The sequence below is a fragment of the Homo sapiens genome, chromosome 22 (assembly GCF_000001405.40).
Source record: "Homo sapiens chromosome 22, GRCh38.p14 Primary Assembly".
NCBI classification, from domain to species: Eukaryota; Metazoa; Chordata; class Mammalia; order Primates; family Hominidae; genus Homo; species Homo sapiens.
In genome coordinates, this window is record NC_000022.11 from 38,382,149 (window position 1) to 38,402,144 (window position 19,996).

The 19,996-nt window shown below is 42.3% G+C and overlaps 1 protein-coding gene and 1 pseudogene across 2 annotated transcripts in view, besides 2 other annotated features; both read right to left on the reverse strand.

The window, feature by feature from the left end:
- The window catches only part of TPTEP2-CSNK1E (TPTEP2-CSNK1E readthrough), a 108,225-nt gene extending 91,458 nt beyond the window's left edge, over positions 1 to 16,767 (reverse strand). Inside the window, exon 1 of the mRNA NM_001289912.2 lies at positions 16,290 to 16,767. The gene's annotated coding sequence lies outside the window, so the exon portion shown is untranslated. The remainder of the gene's footprint in view (positions 1 to 16,289) is intronic.
- TPTEP2 (TPTE pseudogene 2) overlaps positions 1 to 16,778 on the reverse strand; it is a 54,262-nt pseudogene extending 37,484 nt beyond the window's left edge. Inside the window, exon 1 of the transcript NR_002821.2 lies at positions 16,632 to 16,778. The product of NR_002821.2 is annotated as a TPTE pseudogene 2 (transcript). The remainder of the gene's footprint in view (positions 1 to 16,631) is intronic.
- Positions 15,496 to 16,279: an enhancer, noted in NCBI's record as "H3K27ac hESC enhancer chr22:38793649-38794432 (GRCh37/hg19 assembly coordinates)". NCBI's record gives its function as "activates a minimal SCP1, AML or CMV promoter by ChIP-STARR-seq in naive H9 embryonic stem cells {active_cell/tissue: H9 hESC(naive)}" and the evidence as "EXISTENCE:reporter gene assay evidence [ECO:0000049][PMID:30033119]".
- Positions 16,545 to 16,824: a silencer, noted in NCBI's record as "silent region_13717". NCBI's record gives its function as "represses an Ori minimal core promoter by ATAC-STARR-seq in GM12878 lymphoblastoid cells {active_cell/tissue: GM12878}" and the evidence as "EXISTENCE:reporter gene assay evidence [ECO:0000049][PMID:35858748]".

Here is a 19,996-nt window from a genome sequence, read left to right on the forward strand (position 1 = left end):
AGGTTTTATACGCCAACAGTGAATATCTTAGGCTGTGAACATGGCGATGCATGTAGGTGAGGTGGCTGTATCTTCACCTCAATGTGTAACAGCCTTTTTTGAGGGGATTTAATTCCAGTTCAACTTTAGTTTGTAAGTTCTCCTTCTTATAATCCCATCTGAATTTCTCATTCTCATTCACCTCCAATCACCTCCTCACTTTTCACCAATCCTAGTTGTCTTTCCTGCCCAAGAGTTAGGGCCAAGTAGCAGAAGACATCAAGCAAGGGCTGCATCCCGTGTGATGATGGATATGGGCTCAGGCAGTCAGCCTCACATAGTGGCAGAACTCTGGAGGGTGGGGAATACTTCCAGGGCTATTATGTCTGTTCTCTTCTTTGACTGGGAGTCTCTGCTCTTTGTCCACTGCTATCTCCTTCTGGCTCCAAGCAGGATTTGCTTCCCCCTTGATCCACACTACTAGTACAGTCTCATTCCCACAAAAACAAAAAGTGACAAACACTAACATAAAAAGCCTCCCTCTGTGAGTTCTTCCACATTTTCCTGCCTCCATCGAAATAACAAAAGAATATTCTTCACAAAGCTCATCCTGAGAAGACTCTAAAACTAGTCTCAAGGGAACTCCTCATTCACATGGATGCTCGTGAGAGTCAATAGCCCGAATCTCAATCTCTCTGCATGTTGTGGGTATGAATGCATGTATATGTGTGTCCATATATACATCTATACATGTGTAATTGTATTTCTGTTCATATGTTGCATTGGCCAGTCTACCAGAAGACACTCTTTCAATTCACACACACGGCAGTGCCGAAGAACTTAAAACATACATAGTAAGACAACATGTAACTCCCAGACTTAACGTTTTCAGTGAAAAACAGTTCCAATTAACTTTCAACATGTAAACTGCTTGAACCTTACAGAATTCAGGTGCATTTGGTTAGTTAGAATCTGCCATGCCATTTTCCCTACACATCATACTTTATATAATTGTAGCACACATTTTACATCTATCCAAGACTCAGTGACTCAAGATTTAACTGAATTCTCTACCACTGAAGCTGACCAATGTGTGACAGCCTTTTGAGGGTAAATTTCTTTTCAATTCAACTCCACTGTGCAGGTGGTCAGCCTGCTAATCCCATTAAGGGCTGACTTCCTGAATGCCTCCGTCACCTCCATCCTTCACCCATCATGCTAGTCTTTGCTGTCCATGAGACATAGGAAAGTAGCTGCATAGCTGCAGGCCTAAGAAAGCGCTGCATCCTGTGAGGTGGTGGGTTTGGGGTTGGGTCTGGGCACCAGCCTCACATGTGGACCGAGCTCTGGAGGGTGAGGGACAAGTCCACATTCCATTAGTTCTGTTCTTTTCAGCCCAAAGCTTCACTGCTCCTTGTTGGCCACTATCTCCTCTGTGTTGCAAATAGGATTCCCTCCTGCCTTGGGCCAATCTGGCAGGGTCTCAACTCAGGAAATCTGAGTCCCATAAAAAAACTGCTTACTAGAAACTAAGAGTGACAAATACACTAACAGGAAGAAGCAACTCTCCTATTACTTGCTCCTCTTTATACAATTTCATCAAAGAAGGATGCAAAGTTACAAAAAAATGCTACAATGAGACGAGTTGGAAACTCTGTTAAAAAAAAAAAAAAATCTATATGGCCATGCAGGCTCCTGAGAGTAAATTCCACAAATGTCCATCAGTTTCCTTTCTCCTTATTTTAGGTTTCCATCCTGTGCATGGATTAGTTTGTGTAGTTTGCGTGGTGAAGAGAAGCGTGGATGGATAGACGGATGAATGGATGGATTGATGGATATATTTGCTCATGTGCCGGTGTGTGTGTATAGTTCTATGCACACTTATGCTGATGGGTGACTTTATTTAACTGTCTATTACTCACCTTTCTTTCGCAGGTGCCTCCTTGGTTGCTCCTTTAAATTCATTTGTATCTCAAAATAATAAGAGCTATCTATGACAAACCCACAGCCAATATCATACTGAATGGGCAAAAACTGGAAGCATTCCCTTTGAAAACAGGCACAAGACAGGGATGCCCTCTCTCACCACTCCTATTCAACATAGTGTTGGAAGTTCTGGCCAGGGCAATTAGGCAGGAGAAGGAAATAAAGGGTATTCAATTAGGAAAAGAGGAAGTCAAATTGTCCCTGTTTGCAGACGACATGATTGTATATCTAGAAAACACCATTGTCTCAGCCCAAAATCTCCTTAAGCTGATAAGCAACTTCAGCAAAGTCTCAGGATACAAAATCAATGTACAAAAATCACAAGCATTCTTATACACCAACAACAGACAAACAGAGAGCCAAATCATGAGTGAACTCCCATTCACAATTGCTTCAAAGAGAATAAAATACCTAGGAATCCAACTTACAAGGGATGTGAAGGACCTCTTCAAGGAGAACTACAAACCACTGCTCAAGGAAATAAAAAAGGATACAAACAAATGGAAGAACATTCCATGCTCATGGGTAGGAAGAATCAATATCGTGAAAATGGCCATACTGCCCAAGGTAATTTACAGATTCAATGCCATCCCCATCAAGCTACCAATGACTTTCTTCACAGAATTGGAAAAAACTAAAGTTCATATGGAACCAAAAAAGAGCCCACATCGCCAAGTCAATCCTAAGCCAAAAGAACAAAGCTGGAGGCATCACACTACCTGACTTCAAACTATACTACGAGGCTACAGTAACCAAAACAGCATGGTACTGGTACCGAAACAGAGATATAGATCAATGGAACACAACAGAGCCCTCAGAAATAATGCCGCATATCTACAACTATCTGATCTTTGACAAACCTGAGAAAAACAAGAAATGGGGAAAGGATTCCCTATTTAATAAATGGTGCTGGGAAAGCTGGCTAGCCATATGCAGAAAGCTGAAACTGGATCCCTTCCTTACGCCTTATACAAAAATCAATTCAAGATGGATTAAAGACTTAAACGTTAGACCTAAAACCATAAAAACCCTAGAAGAAAACCTAGGCATTACCATTCAGGACATAGGCATGGGCAAGGACTTCATGTCTAAAACACCAAAAGCAATGGCAACAAAAGCCAAAATTGACAAATGGGATCTAATTAAACTAAAGAGCTTCTGCACAGCAAAAGAAACTACCATCAGAGTGAACAGGCAAACTACAAAATGGGAGAAAATTTTCGCAACCTACTCATCTGACAAAGGGCTAATATCCAGAATCTGCAATGAACTCAAACAAATTTACAAGAAAAAAACAAACAACCCCATCAAAAAGTGAGCAAAGGACATGAACAGACACTTCTCAAAAGAAGACATTTATGCAGCCAAAAGACACATGAAAAAATGCTCATCATCACTGGCCATCAGAGGACTGCAAATCAAAACCACAATGACATACCACCTCACACCAGTTAGAATGGCAATCATTAAAAAGTCAGGAAACAACAGGTGCTGGAGAGGATGTGGAGAAATAGGAACACTTTTACACTGTTGGTGGGACTGTAAACTAGTTCAACCATTGTGGAAGTCAGTGTGGCGATTCCTCAGGGATCTAGAACTAGAAATACCATTTGACCCAGCCATCCCATTACTGGGTATATACCCAAAGGACTATAAATCATGCTGCTATAAAGACACATGCACACGTATGTTTATTGCGGCACTATTCACAATAGCAAAGACTTGGAACCAACCCAAATGTCCAACAATGATAGACTGGATTAAGAAAATGTGGCACATATACACCATGGAATACTATGCAGCCATAAAAAATGATGAGTTCATGTCCTTTGTAGGGACATGGATGAAATTGGAAATCATCATTCTCAGTAAACTATCGCAAGAACAAAAAACCAAACACCGCATATTCTCACTCATAGGTGGGAATTGAACAATGAGAACACATGGACCCAGGAAGGGGAACATCACACTCTGGGGACTGTTGTGGGGTGGGGGGAGGGGGGAGGGATAGCATTGGGAGATATACCTAATGCTAGATGACAAGTTAGTGGGTGCAGCGCACCAGCACGTCACATGTATACATATGTAACTAACCTGCACATTGTGCACATGTACCCTAAAACTTAAAGTATAATAATAAAAAAAAAACCATACTGTTCTGCCATACATACAGATACTCATTAAAGATGAGGGAGAAGGGCATGGGGTGGGGGAGAATGTTCCAAAACCAAAGACCACAGGATAATAACCTCAGAGCAGACTCTCCAGTTATTTTTTCTTTTGTATGTAATGGAGGGGATTCTTACTATTTACTCTGATATAGAAGTTTACATCAAGTGTTCAGCTTCCTTTGTGGGTTAGAGAGAATAACCAGAGGGCTCAGTTATCCTCTCTGAATAACTATGTTTGTTTAGTGTTTTCTAGACAATATTAAATTTCACTAAAATAGACAAGGTTGATAGGACTTGGGGGGATAACTCATTGACTCAAGCTATCATTTTATAGGATTGTGAGAAAACAAAGTTGTACATTTAAAATACATTCATATTCTAGCTAGAAGAGAGGATTTTGAATATTCTTACATCAAAGACATGGTAAATGTTTAAGGCAATGGATATGCTAATTACCATGATTTGATCATTATGCAATGTAAAATGTACTGAAACATCACATTGTACCTCATAAATATGTACAATTTATTATGTGTCAACTAAAATTTTGAGTATAAGAAAAAATAAACTTCAATTGTAAGAAAACAACCCAACTTTTAAAAAATGGGCAAAATATGTGAACAGATACTTCACTAATAAAGATTTGCAACTGGCAAATAAGCAAATGAAAAAATGGTCATCATCACTAGCTATTAGAGAAATGCAGATTAAAACTATAATAAGAAACCACTAGATACCTATTAGAATGTCTAAAATTAGAAAGATGGCGTGTTGACAAAGATAGAAACTGAAACTCTTATACAATGCCAGGAATGTAAAGTGCTAGATCCACTTTGGAAAACAGTTTGACCGTTTCTTAAGAAGTTAATTAGGTCTTCCAGTTCCTACTCCAACACGTAGAGAACTTGGAAGTCATCACTCCCATCTTCACAACGGAAAAAAAGATAAACTGAAAATCAACAACTTTTCTTAGATCTGTCCGAGAATAGAGGTCACAGGGAAACCACCTCCTCAAAAACTAGAGAGATGGGTGACTATAGAAAATCACAGTTTACCTGAGAGCAGAAGCCACAGAGCCAGTAATTGGTAGGAACACTTCAATGGTAATCAATAAATTTACTGGTGGCTGAGTGTGGACTAGCTTGAGAGTTAAAAACTTGTTGGAGTCCCGTCTTGGGGGCCCCTTATACTTTCATGAATTTTACTTCCAGAAACCCCACCAGGTTCTCACGATGAAGGCTGAAGAAAATTTCCTCAGGCTCTTTACACAAGGAAAAGGGAAAAGCAACCATTTCAAAATATACCGTAATTGGAGGATAGAGAGAGTGGGTATAGCAACCATTTTGAAATGGTACCTAATTCAATTGCTTCACTTTTAACTAATATATAGGGCATCCTGTTAAACGTGCTTGTTAATTAAATCACTGGCATTTTATCCAGTCAGTACACTTATTAAATCAGAATTTCATCCAGTTAAAATCCAGTTTAAATCAGTGCTTTACCGACTTAAATCTAAAATGTCAAGTTTTAGGTCAGAAATTGTTAAATTCAGCTGAATACATTTTAAATGCCACTAAAATGCACATGTGGATGCCATCAGCAGCCTCCCTAAATCTAAAGACTATAAGAACTGTGAAGATTAAGATGAAAACATTAAAACACTTTAGTAAACTAAAATATTTTAAATCCAGTGTATACAAAACAATTTAAAATCTGTTTCATATACAAACAAATCTGCATCCAATCTAAGTGCCCAAACACCCCCTTAGAGATTTTGCACATACAGAGGTCAACAAAATGAGCACAGAAATACAGAAACTTTTCCTAAAATCCCCATTCAAGAAATACTTAACACCTCAGAATGGTCACTCATTTTGGCCACGGGAACCCTGATATATTTTGGTTCACTGGATATTCGAAACCTCAATCCACTGTTCAAATCCCGGCTTGCTTTCCACAACTTTCTGCCTTCAACAAGCACTGGGTGGGGCTTCCTAGTCCAAACAACAAATAGGGAAAGACATACACAAAGCTCCTTTGTGAATGTATAGATTTAAAATAAAATCCTCAACAGGGCTGTTTCAACATGGCTTAGTCTTTCATCAGAAAATGGGTCCTCTGATTTTTTTAATCTACCTTTCACATCATGCACTGGCCAGGTGGAAAATTACTTTATTTAGCTCTGCTGCTTCTGGTTTAGAAGCTAATTTTCACTCCTGGAGAAGAATTAACTTCTAAAGCCAATACCCTCTGCCTTTATGGCAAACATTGGATAGGCATTGTTTCTAAATAGTCCCAACTACTTAAAACTTAAGTCAGTTAATTCCACCCAAGAAAACCAAAAGGGATGCAAACTACTCCCAGCAAAGTAACCTTAAAAAACAAAAGCATACTTTACTTTCCTCCCTCTCTCTACTTCCTTAAAGAGCAAGGAAGGCCTGTAGGCTCAGAGAAGCCAAGGAAACATCTCCTCCTTTACACTCCGAAATAGAAATTCTCATACTCCTTGTTATCTTTAGTTTTGAATAAACTAGATCTTTAACATTAAGCTTTTCTAAATAAGACTGAAGATCAAGGATTAGGGTAAAGGAAAGAATGTCCTGAAGTCTCTTCTTTGTTGCTATCACAATGGAGGATCAACACATGGGCTGGTGACCAGCTTGGTGTGATATAATAGAACACTCCAGAGACCCGAGTTCTAGTCACAACCTTCAAGTTGTCACTGCCACATACCACATCTTTCTATTATCTATTTAACGCAGTTGGTTAAACTCTAGGATGGCCTTTACAGTTCCAATATTCTGTGGTTCTGGGGATAGATCTACACACTGAAAAGAATATTCAATTACTCTGCTAATCAGAATGTGAAGTGACTTAGGTTTCTATACATAGAAGCTTAAGTTTCATTTGCTTATTCAACAAGTATTTACTGAATGCTAGCGTCCCAGGCAAGGTTTTAACTGAATAACAGCACATACCCTAGAAAAACAGTTAACAAATGCTGACAACGCTGTTTTCCCTGGCCAAGAACAAAGACTCATTTATTTGAGGCCCTTCCTACTTGCAGATGCTAAAATACGCTTATTTTTTAAAAAATCAAATAGTGGCAATATGCAATAGTGGAGTTTTTTGGGTTTTTTTTAATGTCCTTATTTAGCAAAATCAAAGTTAGGTGAGAATTTGAAAAAAAAAAAACAAAAACTAAGTTAGTCCCTACGTCAGCTCTCAACATTATTACTGTATTTTAGAAACTTGACTAATATGTGAAACTGTAATTTTGGGGAACTCCACTTCTCTACTGACATCCTTTCCAAAAAGAGACACCAGCTCTACAGTCTCGGGATTAGAAATATGATGTGAGGCCGGGCATAGTGGCTCACACCTGTACTCCCAATGCTTTGGGAAGCCGAAGTGGGTGGATCACTTGAGGTCAGGAGTTGGAGACCAGCCTGACCAACATGGTGAAACCCCTTATCTGCTAAAAATACAAAAATTAGCTGGGCATGGTAATACACACCTGTAATCCCAGCTACTTGGGAATCACTTGAACCCAGGAGGTGGAGGTTGCAGTGAGCCAAGATCGCGCCACTGCATTCCAGCCTGGGCAACAGAGCGAGACTTTGACTCCCCCCTCTTGCCCAAAAAAAAAGAAATATGATGGAGTGTTATTTCCCACTCAGGGAAACAGCATAACTTAGTTACTGAAAATATTTATTAACAGACAGATGTTTTGGTTCCAATTCTCAATTATCTGGGTTAAAGAAGTTACCATCAGTCTCCACACAAGACCTTGTAGGATTATTTCTCTGCAGTGAAGGACAATGAAGGAGGTTCAGTGGGAAACGATCTTAGGACAGAGGAAGTTTCCACTTTGCCTGGGAGGGTGAACAGCCTGGGAGACCTGGAGATGAGGGCAGGCATTCTAGGCCAAGGGGTCTTCTTGTGTGGTCAGATGGGGAAGGAAACCCTCCTGGCAAAACAGCAGCAATTCTTTCTCCAGGAAAGCTTCTGAGACTGACTCTAATAGTCAATTGTGATCAACTGTCCTAGGCTCCCAGGGCCACAGCAATCCTTAGGCACCCCAAATGTGCCATCCCTGACTACCCAGCACACCCTAACCCCAAAGCATTGTGACAGCTCAAGGATGACTTCCTCTGAAAACCTCTGTCCAGATCTAAAACCATCCTGTTTGTTTGCTTGTAACTGTCTTTTTCTAAAAGTAACACCTCAGGATGGAGACTCTGTTGCCTTGTCCACTGCTGCCCCCAATGCCTGGAACAAGGTGCCTGACACAGGAGTAGGCACGCGACACATAGCTGGTGAATAAACGTCACGGAATTAGCACACGTGTAGAATCAGTACGCACATGTTTGGCCACAGTCACTAAACGTAACTGATCAGAAATTAAAATTAAGTTGCATGTTCATCAAAACTTCTACATGGCTATCAGTGACTGCCATCTAATTGCCATTCTGCAACTTCAAGAGTACAATTTCAAGAGCGTAATAAAAAAATCATATTTAATCACACCATAAAGTTCATCAGCACAAGCAAAACAAAAACTGCACTATTTGGATTTATACTCACTCTCCTTACGACCCTCCAAAACAAAAATGCTGGGCATCCTAGGGCTATCTCTGACAGCAAATGCCTTCAGCTCTTGACTTAGAAACTGCTAACATACTAGACAAAACACTTTCCTTAAACTCTAAGACAATGAATAATACTTTAAACCAGGTTTACATCGCTTAAAACCAATTCGCTCATCAGTAATCGTTAAAGTGGTTGTAACAATAAAGATGTTAATAACAGAATACAGCAAAATAGAAATTCTAATCTACTAACAGCAAATCACCATTCCAATTGAATGGTGTGTGTGCACAAACACAAGCCTTCCCAGAAGCCTCCAGCTCTCCACACTCCTGCACACAGAAGGCAGCAGTAAACCGATGGCACTGCTGTTAAAGTAAATTGTCTTTCTCAACAAAGAACTGGAGGGGAAAAGGAGGATATTATAATCCAAGACTATAATCTAAATGCTTCTAGCTTGCAAGAAAGTGAGCATTACGAACACGCTAAGCTTACTGACAAGTACTTCACAAAAATGGTTTCCAATGTTTAAAAACATTTTAAAATCTTTACTCAGGTAAACGACAGAACTTAACTCATATACCCCCTAACACCTAAGGCAAGTGGGCTATTGAGTATAGCCATATTTTGAAAGAAACTTCTATTGGGATTATTTCAGTAGATACTTTTAAAATTTACCAGAGCATAATCTTTGAAACCCAGTGGGAACCACACTGCTACAAAAGGCTGGAATAGAAGTGTGATGTTCTTTAGGTCACTAATTACACACTGATTTGTGACTAAAGCTACCATGAATTCTACCACTACCTATAGATCTTGAAATTAGCAAATAGGACACATTATACACTGCTTAATAAAAAGCACAGTAATCTGTGCTTAAGTACAACTAACTAGGTACAACAGCCACTTTGCTGACAATTACTGTAACTTGGGAATATTTTTCTTTACATCCTGATGTACTCAAACTGTTAACTTTTAGAAACAGCACAGCCTCTTTGTTTCTTCTGCTTAATAGGTTATCTTACACTGTTGATATGGAATATGTATCTACCATAATACAAAGCAATAAGGTATTCAAGTCCTCAAAAACACAGAAAAATTATATTTATACACAATTTGTCATACTGCTAACAAAGCTACTTTTTCCCAAGTTACTGAGGTGTCCAAATAAGGAGTTATTAAAAAATTCAACTTAAATTGCTATTCTCTGGCCAATGCATTTGTACCCTGAAAACTACAAAATTATCTCCAAGACCTGGCTAGAAGTTTACATTTTCTCTGAAAGTTTTTCCTCTGTCTTTTACACACAGTATTTTTTCTTAATCTGACAAGTGGAGAAAACTCTGCATAGCCATCTACTAACAATCAAAAAGCTACAGGTTTTTTTATTTTTTATTTTTAATGCTCTAAATTCTTCAACACTGTTTCAAGGAAATTACTAGGGGTCACACCCACGAGGCTAAATGGTCAACCCAACTTTCCTAATTTAGCTGTGGAAAGATGCTTCCAAGTTAAGCGAAAGAAAAAGATTGGAATATTCAAAGTTTATATTTAAGGTTACAACCTAAACTCTTCAACTTGGGAAGCTTGTAAAGGAAATAATTTCATTTTGCTGAAATTGTTCATAAATTACCAATTTTAAATAGGATTAGAGACCAAAGTACTATAAAAATATAATCATATAGCATATTTGAGTGTCATTAACTAGAAACTGCCTGAATTCATCCTAAATCAGTTAAGGTCAGTTAAGGGATCTTAGTAAGAACTTAAAGTATAACATACTAGTTTTAGTTTCAATATTAACAGATACTGTCATCTGCAAAGTGGTTTTTAAAAACATCCTGATCTGAAAAAAAGTTATAAGGAAAGTGAATTTTTAAAAACTTTAATTAAGCAAGACTAAGCATTGCTATCCATTTCTCCTATTACTACTACTTAACCAGTACAACCTTAAATATCTGTAAAAATTTGACAGGCCTAACTGCACCAAAAAAAAAAGATTTCAGCAAATTAATTAACTGTTAATAAACTGTTCTATCTTTACCTGCACTAACTCTCTGCAATGAAAACACTGAACGTGTGTATACACACATCTATCTATATATATATACACACACAAATAACTATACCCACTACTAGACCAGTACACCATACCACTTTTTCCAATGAGCGCTCTGAATTAAACACAATTCAAGTAACCTAGCTAAATACAAGCTTAGGCAATGCCTTTTAAGGCATAAGATCATTCTTCTGCAAGATTTAAATATTCCCCTCCCCATCCTATCTTTTGCTGACTACATACTAAAGTTGTATATCTGGCTCTTTCCAGTCACCTGTTTGCTTTCAAAATCAAGGGGGAAAGTCTCCTTTCAATTAATAATACAATCATTGTTCAGTCGATTTATAAACTGAAGAAAAACTCTATATTGATTACAAAAGAAAGAAACACTTCTTCAGTATAACTGAGATGCTTTATGTTATCCTTATTTGATAGAGGTAGAAGTAAAAGTAACTATTATTCCTAATGCTGATTCAAGAAATGTCTAGAGTCTACATTTCCAGTCCATTTAACTACATTTTAAATTCCAAAGGTTTCCAGACACACCAGAAAATAATGGAACACCAATACAGAAACACTACACGAGTCTGTTAAAAACCTAGCTTCTGAGTCTGGGGGAGCTTTTCTATAGGAAGTACAGTCATGTGGAGGTCAGAAACAAGTTTTGTAAAGCTTAATAAGAACAAAGGCTAAGTAAGGAATCCAACTAACTCTCTCATACAACTTCTTCAGCTGCCCTTTCAGGTTTAGTAATTTTACTTCTCAACTTTATCATAAAATTACCAAACTGTCCCCAAATTTCCAGTAACTCAATTATGCTGATACCCTGGGCAGGAAGTAATGGAGATGTTCAGAACAGTCAGTCAACAAATGTTCAAATGGAAAGCATTCCAACATTAAATATAAAAGGGTAATATGTGGCGGCAGCTGGCTAGCGGGGGCTTCCCCCCTATTTATCTGGAAGATAGATGTGTACAATAATTGAGCATGTCATCGTGAGCTGCAGATTTTAGGAAAGAATGGTCCCTGTTCTTCCACTTTCTTAAAGTCAGATTTCTATCTCTCTTCGTGGTCTAAATTCAAAAACCTTTGCCCCAGATACCACTGCAAATTTGTCTGTTATTACTGGTTGGGGAAAAATAACCCAGTTCACCTTACTCCAAAAACATGAGCATTTCAGAAAAGTTTTTATTCTGCCTCTAAAATGAGGCCATTAAGTGATATTCAATAATCAGGCTTCCTTCACCCGAATTCAAGAAATTTCCTGCCGTCTTTGTGTAATAAACTTTTTTCTTCCATGTGCATTTTAATTTTAACACCCCTCCCCGCCGCAGAATCTGGAAAAGAGGTGTGCGGATCAAGACCCCTCCACCCGCCATTGTCTCAAGTTTAATTTACATGCTGTAACCAAACCCTTCACTCTTTCGAATATTTAACAAGATTGAGATTCCTTTAATTCCATGTTGGTAGCTGTTCTGTAAATACCTTTCAGGTTTTTATTTTTTAATATCCCAGTAATCTAAAAACTATTCTGTTGTTAGATTTCAATTGAAGGAACTGGATTTAAAATCTTATTACGTTTATTTTATCAGTGGAATACTCAGTTTATGCAACTGTCTCATGTTTTTCATTCCTACTTTCTAATTCTAAGGCTTGAAAACAGCCATTGCTCAGTCCTTCAGCTTCACCTTCCCAATTCATTCATTAAACATTCTGCTCAGGGATTAAACTGAAATGGGAAATTAGGAAAGAACCATTTAAAACAAATCATACCCAGCAACCTCAAAATCTATAACATACAGGCCATATGGGCATACAGGAAATGGGACAATTTGAATTTTTTTTTTTAAGCAAATGGAAACAAAGCTTCATATAAAACATAAAAAGGGTCCAATCATTTACTTTCAAATAGAGTCAGCTAAAAGTAGCTCCTTTTTTAAAGTGGCATCTTTCAGGCAGTCAAGAGTCATTAAAACTACTCCAAAGTTCTTATCAACCAATATCATGTTTGTGACAACTGTGAGAAAAGAATGTAATTTTATAAAGTGGGAAAACAGCACATCTTTTGGGACCCCTGAGGCTCTAATCAGGCATCTCAGAATTAAGAGTGCTCCAGGGTTGGGAAATGGCTACCCTGCTGTGGCGAAAACATGCCATTTCATAATAAACGTTGTTAAGAGAGAAAAAAGTGATAAGCATGTACCTGCAATGAGGAGATAGAACGACTTAGTCATTGCCAGGCCATTATATTCCTTAATTATTTCATCAGTCTATAAGTGACTTGATGATTAAGTCTTATTTTCAGATTTCCTCCAAAACAAGTCCACTGGAAGGGGATTAGGGGCTCCTACTCCTCCCTGAACTTTTCCTGCCAAAAATGGAGGCTCACAAAGAAAATGCAAATCTACCCCCACCTTAAAAAAGTAAAGGCAGTCAAAGTCAAAACCTTCACTGCTCCTCCTTCCTCCCCTACTACGTGGAAAAAAATTTTGACCTGTTACCAAAATAGATTCCTCAGGGTAAAGGGGAGAAAAGTTTTCTACAAATTTTTTCTAAGTGGTGTATTAGTTCCTTTTTTTGAGTAAGAAGTGAAAGGGAATAGGAACCCAACACAACTGCTAAACTTCGATCTCACAAGTTATTAAAAAACAGCAAAGGTCAAACTGCAAAGCGTTAGAAAAATGTGAAGACAAAAGGATTAAAAGAGTGGGACACTAAAGAAAAAAGTGTGTGTCCTTCACCAATAAAAGTCGTATCTTGTCCTCTACTTCCTCCTTCTGTAGGCAAATAAAGACAATTCTAAAGGACTAGCTTTCCTCATCATGCCAAATAATTAAAATTCCAAACAGATTATTAATCCTATTCTAACAATTAAAATAAATGATAAATCTGCCTTGTAACTACTGACAACTGTATTTTAAATAACTTACGGCCTCTTGAATTTAAATATAACCGATTAAAAATGGCAGCAACATCAGGGTTAAGAAACAAAATGAAACACTATTAGTCTCCAGAATATTGAACAAAACAATATCTAAAATAAATATGACTTCTCAGAAGGAAAAAAGTTATCTACCATTAAGGACATACCTTAAAAGTTCTTAGCACACATTAAGTAAGCACAAACTAGTGGCTTGCCTGTTATATTTTCAGACAAAAAGCAATGAGGTTATTCCTCTGCACTTGTCACTGCAGACACATAAAGGCTTTTAGAAACTACATCTATTACTCATTGTCTAAGTATCATAAAACTTAGCATTTTAAGTCTTGTTTGATATCAATCAAGAAAGAACATCCACTTCAGGGGAAAGAAGTACAGTAAAATAAGAACATTGTAAATGTCCCTCTTGACATATACAAAAGAGAAGGTAAAAGGCCTCCTAAGACCCCTACCTAGTGGCCAGGCCTGGACGGCAGCTGTTGCTACCTCACCTTTTCTTTTGTTGAGCTTAATCTCATGTCAAGTCATTCAACCAACTCAAAAGCGATGAAGACATTATTGAATCAATCTGAACTAAATCAGACCTAGGCTTCTTAAAACATACAGCTTAATGCTTCCAAACGATCTAGAAAACTAAGAAACCTAGCTACGCTGTAGGACACACTTTCATATGCGTCCGTGTGAAGAGACCACCAAACAGGCTTTGTGTGAGCAACATGGCTGTTTATTTCACCTGGGTGCAGGCGGGCTGAGTCCGAAAAGAGTCAGCAAAGGGAGATGGGGTGGGGCCATTTTATAGGATTTGGGAAGGTAATGGAAAATTACAGTCAAAGGGGGTTGTTCTCTGGTGGGCAGGGGTGGATCTCACAAAGTACATTCTCAAGGGTGGGGAGAATTACAAACAACCTTCTTAAGGGTTGGGGTCACGGCACCAAATTTCATACACGTCCGTGTGAAGAGACCACCAAACAAGCTTTGTGTGAGCAATGGCCTGGCCTGGGCTCAGAGGCCTGACACACACAGTGGCCAATTATACAGGACCCCCAAACTGGCCAGTGGACCACTGCAACCGCCATTTACTTTCTCCGCTGCAAGCACCATAGGCTGATTCAGGAAGATAAACTGAGGCTCAAGGAATTTCGAAGTGGAACAATACACCAAAGCCTTAAACCTGAAATGACTATCCTTTTCTGGGGGGTGGGGGGGAAAGAAAAAGAAAAAAAAGTTTCTGGGGCTCTCAGGGTGGCCCAGATGCCAGGGTCCCAGAAGTGGCCTTTTCTAGCTCCTGTAACTAAACCTGGCGGAAAACTCCCCGCCTGCTCACCCCATCCGCCCAAGAATGCGCCTTCCCGTCTTCGGTGGCCCTACCCAGAATCCCAAAATGTGGATTCCAACCCAGGCCCTGAACGTCTTCTCAAATCCCCGGGACTTACGTTGCGGCGCGCGCCCCGCTGTCGGGTCTTGCCCCTCGGGCGGTACCGCCCAGGCAGCCCTAAATCCAGCCTCCCAGGCCCCCAGCAGCGCCCTCCGCCCCTCCACCATCCCGTCCGGCTCGCAGTCGGGGCCAAATCGAGAGACAAGAGGGCTGTGCCTGAAACTGAGCGGTTTCACCACTTGGCACCTCCTGGCAGAAACTTCCCTTTAAAAAAAGAAAAGAAAAAAAAAAAAAGCAGCAGCACTTTTGGGCTAGCATTTCAATCCTTCCTGCCCTTTAGAGTTCCCAGTTCTGCTTCCAGCTGCCTTTGGGTGTTCCACTACAATTGAGTTGTAAAGATATTCTTTAAGTGTTTATAGAACATTAAGACTTAAGAAAAATCTTTAAAATTAGAGGAGGGAAAAAAAAGCCACCTTATCGCACACATCCAGGAAACGCAGCCCCGTGCATCCCTGCTCAGGGATAAGCAGGCGCCCCAGGACTCCCGGGGACAGATTTTTGGGCACCCGAGGGAGTCACCCGGCGCACCTCGGGGTCCGCGGAGAGGCCCAGCCCCTCCCGCGGTCCCTTAGACGCGCCCTCCGCCTGGCCCGTGTGGACCGTCCCGGCCATTGTTTACGGGGGAAGCCTGTCCCGACGCATTGTTTTGGCCATTTCCAACTTCCCCCGGCCCTTCCCGGGGTATCGCGGGGGACCCTACGCCAACGTCCCCCCTCCGCCCGCGCCCCAAGGGCCGACTGGGCAAATTGGGAGACCCGCCCCGCGGGGCGACCCAACTTTTCGGAACAGCCCCCCACCGCCCACCCCCGCAGACCCCCGGACCCCCGCTCCCGGCGGAGATTCAGGGAACCCCGCACCCCAAGCCCTTCTGAATCGTGCGGCGTGAGTGTGACGGCCAAGAGCGGATGCAGCCCGGGATCGCCCGCACCTTCCCGCCAGCGGAAGCGCAGGAGCCGGCTGGGGAGGGGGCGCCCTAGAAAGAGCAGCTAGAAAGCTGAGACGGGGAACTGAGGTCATCCTGGGGGGGGACAAGACAACGAGAGCCGGGCGCCTCGGGGGCGGCGCGGGAGCCTCCGCAGGACCAGGCGGGCGCCCCGGCTGGCGCGGGCGGGGGGCGCCCCCCTTTACCTGTGGCTCCGGCCCCTCGGCCATTTCCTCGCGCGGCGGCTGCCGGGACTGAGCTGACTCCACTCGGGCCGGCCGGGTTTGAAAGAGGAGGAGCGGGCGCGGAGGGGAGGGGGCGGGGAGGGCGGAGGGAGGGAGGCCTCGCGCAGTTTTCTCGGCCTTTTGTGCGGACACCTCCCGGATTCCGCGCCCGCACCCGGCCCCCCAAAAGACACGGGGAGCCGCAAGCGAGGGGTGCAGCCATCTGCCGAGGCGCCTAGTGCCTTCGCGCCTCCAAGACCCCCAACAAAAAAGGAGCGTCCCGCACCCCCACCCCCGCCCGGAGGATTTAGGGGCCGGGCTCACCTCGGGCGCGGGGCTAAGTGCAGGCGCGGGGGGGGTCCCTAGAGCCGCCAGGGCGCGGCGCGTCCGGCGCTGGGGGACTGTTGGGTCAGAAAGTGTTCAGGGAGCAGCTGCTGCGCCCTCCCTCGGCCCGCCGCTCGGAGACGCCCCGCCCCGCCCCACCCCGCCCCCGCGCCCACGTGACTAGCATAGGCCCGCCCCCGCTCCGCCCCCCGCCACAGACTCCGCCTCCGGGACGCGAGCGAGCGGCGAGCGCGCGCACTCCCAGTTATCGCTCGGCGACTCCCGCGCACGCACGCGCCGTGCCACCCTCCCCGCGCCCCCCGCCCCATACCCCTACTCCCGCCATCCGATTTAACGTGGCGGGCGAGCGCCGCGGCGGTAGCCGTGACAGGTACCCGGCGGGGGGGGCGGGGGGGGCCGCGAGGGTGTGCGCAGGCGCAGACCCGGGTCCCGTCCCCGCCGCCCCCTCCTCTGCAAGGTGTGCCCGGGCGAGGGGAGGGGCCCGCGGCCCGAACTCCTGGGTCACCCCGAATTACAAACAAAACCTTAACGCCGTTGCTCGCGGGTTAGAAGGCAGCTGTGCGCGAAAAACACCTCAGATTTTCTTCAAGCGTGAGGAAGGTCGAGAAGATAAAGTTTTTAAATGAGTATCTTCAGAAAGCTATTTAATTGTTCTGATTTTTTTTTTTCTGAAAGGACTGGGCTTGCGCTATTCTAACTTGAGATTTCTAAACTTAGACTAGGTTCCAAGAATCTACTTGGTTTTGATAGAAATCCATTTGGAGGAAACCGGGGACAAAAAAAAACAAAAAACCGCTACCCTTTCCCCTCCTCCCTACGCACAACTCATTTAAATCGTTTCCCAACTGTTTTTTTTTTCTTACTGAAAAAAAGGACAAAAAAAATCCTGATTCCTAAGGCCTGTGATATTTCCCCATTTTAAGTAAGCCTCGAGGAACCACAGACATAACAAACATATCCACAATTTTTCTACCCCAAAATGCAAACTAATGCAAATGTGAAATGGATCTATGCAAGTCGCTACCAACAAAATAGCCAAATATTTGTTTTTTTACTGGCCTTCGGCATATCCAAAATGAAAAAACTTTAAAACACATCAAGAAAAGCATTTAAAATATCTATTTCCTAAATCAAAAGAAAGAACGCACTACAGAAACGATCCGGAGCTGGTGAGCAATGCAATCTTAATAAATAGGAAAAGGAATTTGAGAAGACAGCTCAGCAAAGGGGAAGAATTTGCCAAGTGTCATGTTTTGCTGTCATTTTATATATAACTACTAACCCCCCATATGGTCTGGTTAGTCTTTTTTAAAAAGGAAGCCAATCAATTACTCACAATTAATTAGCAGTGCCGGTAGATTCTTAGGCCAGCACTAAAAAACTAAATTGGGTGAATTTTTTTTCACTCAAGTCCACTGATATTGATCACTTTTAGTATTAGGAGTCCTTTTCTGACAAAAGATGAATACCTATCTTTAAAATATATTTTTTAATCTTATTGTCACATTCTAAAACACAGTCCAAAAACACTTCATAAACAAGAAACTTCATTTAACTTTATGAAAACAAATGACTATGAGCCTTGCTACACAACAAAGAAACTATGAACAAGTGCAACCAGGTTGAGCCTTTAAGTGTAGCCTCATTCTACATGTTAATGGATAACCTTTGAACTCTGAGAACTTGAATGCTGTAAACACAATAGCACTGACAGTTAAAAATTCCAGTGTCAAAATCGAGCAAAAAGAAAAGTCCAAACTTTTCAGGGGGAATAGGGAAACAATCAAATATTTTGACAAATAATCGTTTCAGTAAGAACAAGGAGATTCCTGGCTCTCAGACCTTGTTGCTACTGAATTATTTTCTGAGCAAAAACGGTTGTGCTTGTTTTCCCCCTGTGCCCTCCAAAGCTACCACTTTGTTCACATTATAGCATCATGATTTGTTACTGTTTCGCTGCCTCCCTCAAAAAAAAAAAAGTGCCTTATTATGTTGTAGCTTTTAAAATTGAAAGATGATTATATTCACTGATCTATCCGCTAAGAGTTTTATTTATATGTGATCCTCCTTATGTTTGAGCAAAGAATTACAAAGAACCTTGTCCTGGAGTCGTGCCAACGAAACTGGGAAATCGTTGCAAAATTCTGCCAGTGACTGACTGCTGGGTTGCAAATACATACTGTGTTTTCAGAAGAACATAGAGGGATCTGAATTCGTCCGGGAGGGCTTCCCTGAGACACATTCTTCCCTTAGAATGTGAGACTCATACCTCCCATTTATTTGGAAAGCATGTATAGTTCAAACAATTAAAATATGGAAACTCCAAAAGTAACAGGAGAACACTGCAAACATTTGGTTTTGTAATAAAAGCTAGAAACTCATAACTGCATGAAGTGAAAATTGAAAATCGAACGTTGGTCTTCCTATGCTTAGCTCCACCCACAAGAAATCCAGCTTTGCCATCACTCCCTTCCTAGGCCATCTCTAAAGGAGTCAGGTGCTACTAGATGCCAGCAAAAAAAACAAAGAATGGAACCAAAAGAGAAGCTCTGCACATGGTACTTGGAGAAGGGGCAGAAAAGCCCCACTTCACCTTGGTTCAATGCAGCAAACATCAGCTACACCTCATTTTTCACAATTGTCCAAACAGCTCAGGCAGAGCTGACGAGGAGGGTCAGCACCTTCTGCCACCTCCTGCTGCTGAGCTGTGCACCTGTCCCGCAGTTAACTTTCTCTGAGCTGAGTCAACCTGAGCCCACCTGTGGGGAGCCCAAAGCTTGGTGGAGACAGATGCCAGCTGGGGCCCTTTGTTGGGAGAAGCTAAAGGACCTGGTGACTGCATGTGGGGGCAAGAAAAGGAAGACTCCAAGGGTTTGCTCAGGACTCTGGCCCAGGAAATGGGGGACTGTGGGACTGGAAGGGGCCTGGTGGGGAGCAGCAGGGGGTGCTGAGCTTGTTTGGCACCCTCTGAGCTGGAGAAGTGTGTGGAGGCTGGGAGAGGGGCCCAGAGGGACTGGAGGTATAGACAAGACATGCTCCCAGCTTCCCTGGGTCGCAGGCCAGGCACTATTTGATAGATGAGATCATCGAGTTCCAGGGAGGAAGGAGAGCGGGCCATGTCACCAAGGTCACCCAGTGATGAGCATCCCTGCCGACAGGAGTCCAGCTATCCCAGTCCCTCCACAGTCCCTGGGACTTTGCTGCTGAGGGGCTCGGGCTCTCCGGGCGGGAGTCCCAAAGACAGGAACAGGGCAGACTTAGAGCCCACATGGAGGCTGATTCTTTGGGCGGCCTTGGGCAAGTCTCTTCACCTTTCTGAGGCTCAGTTGCCGCACCTGTGGGTG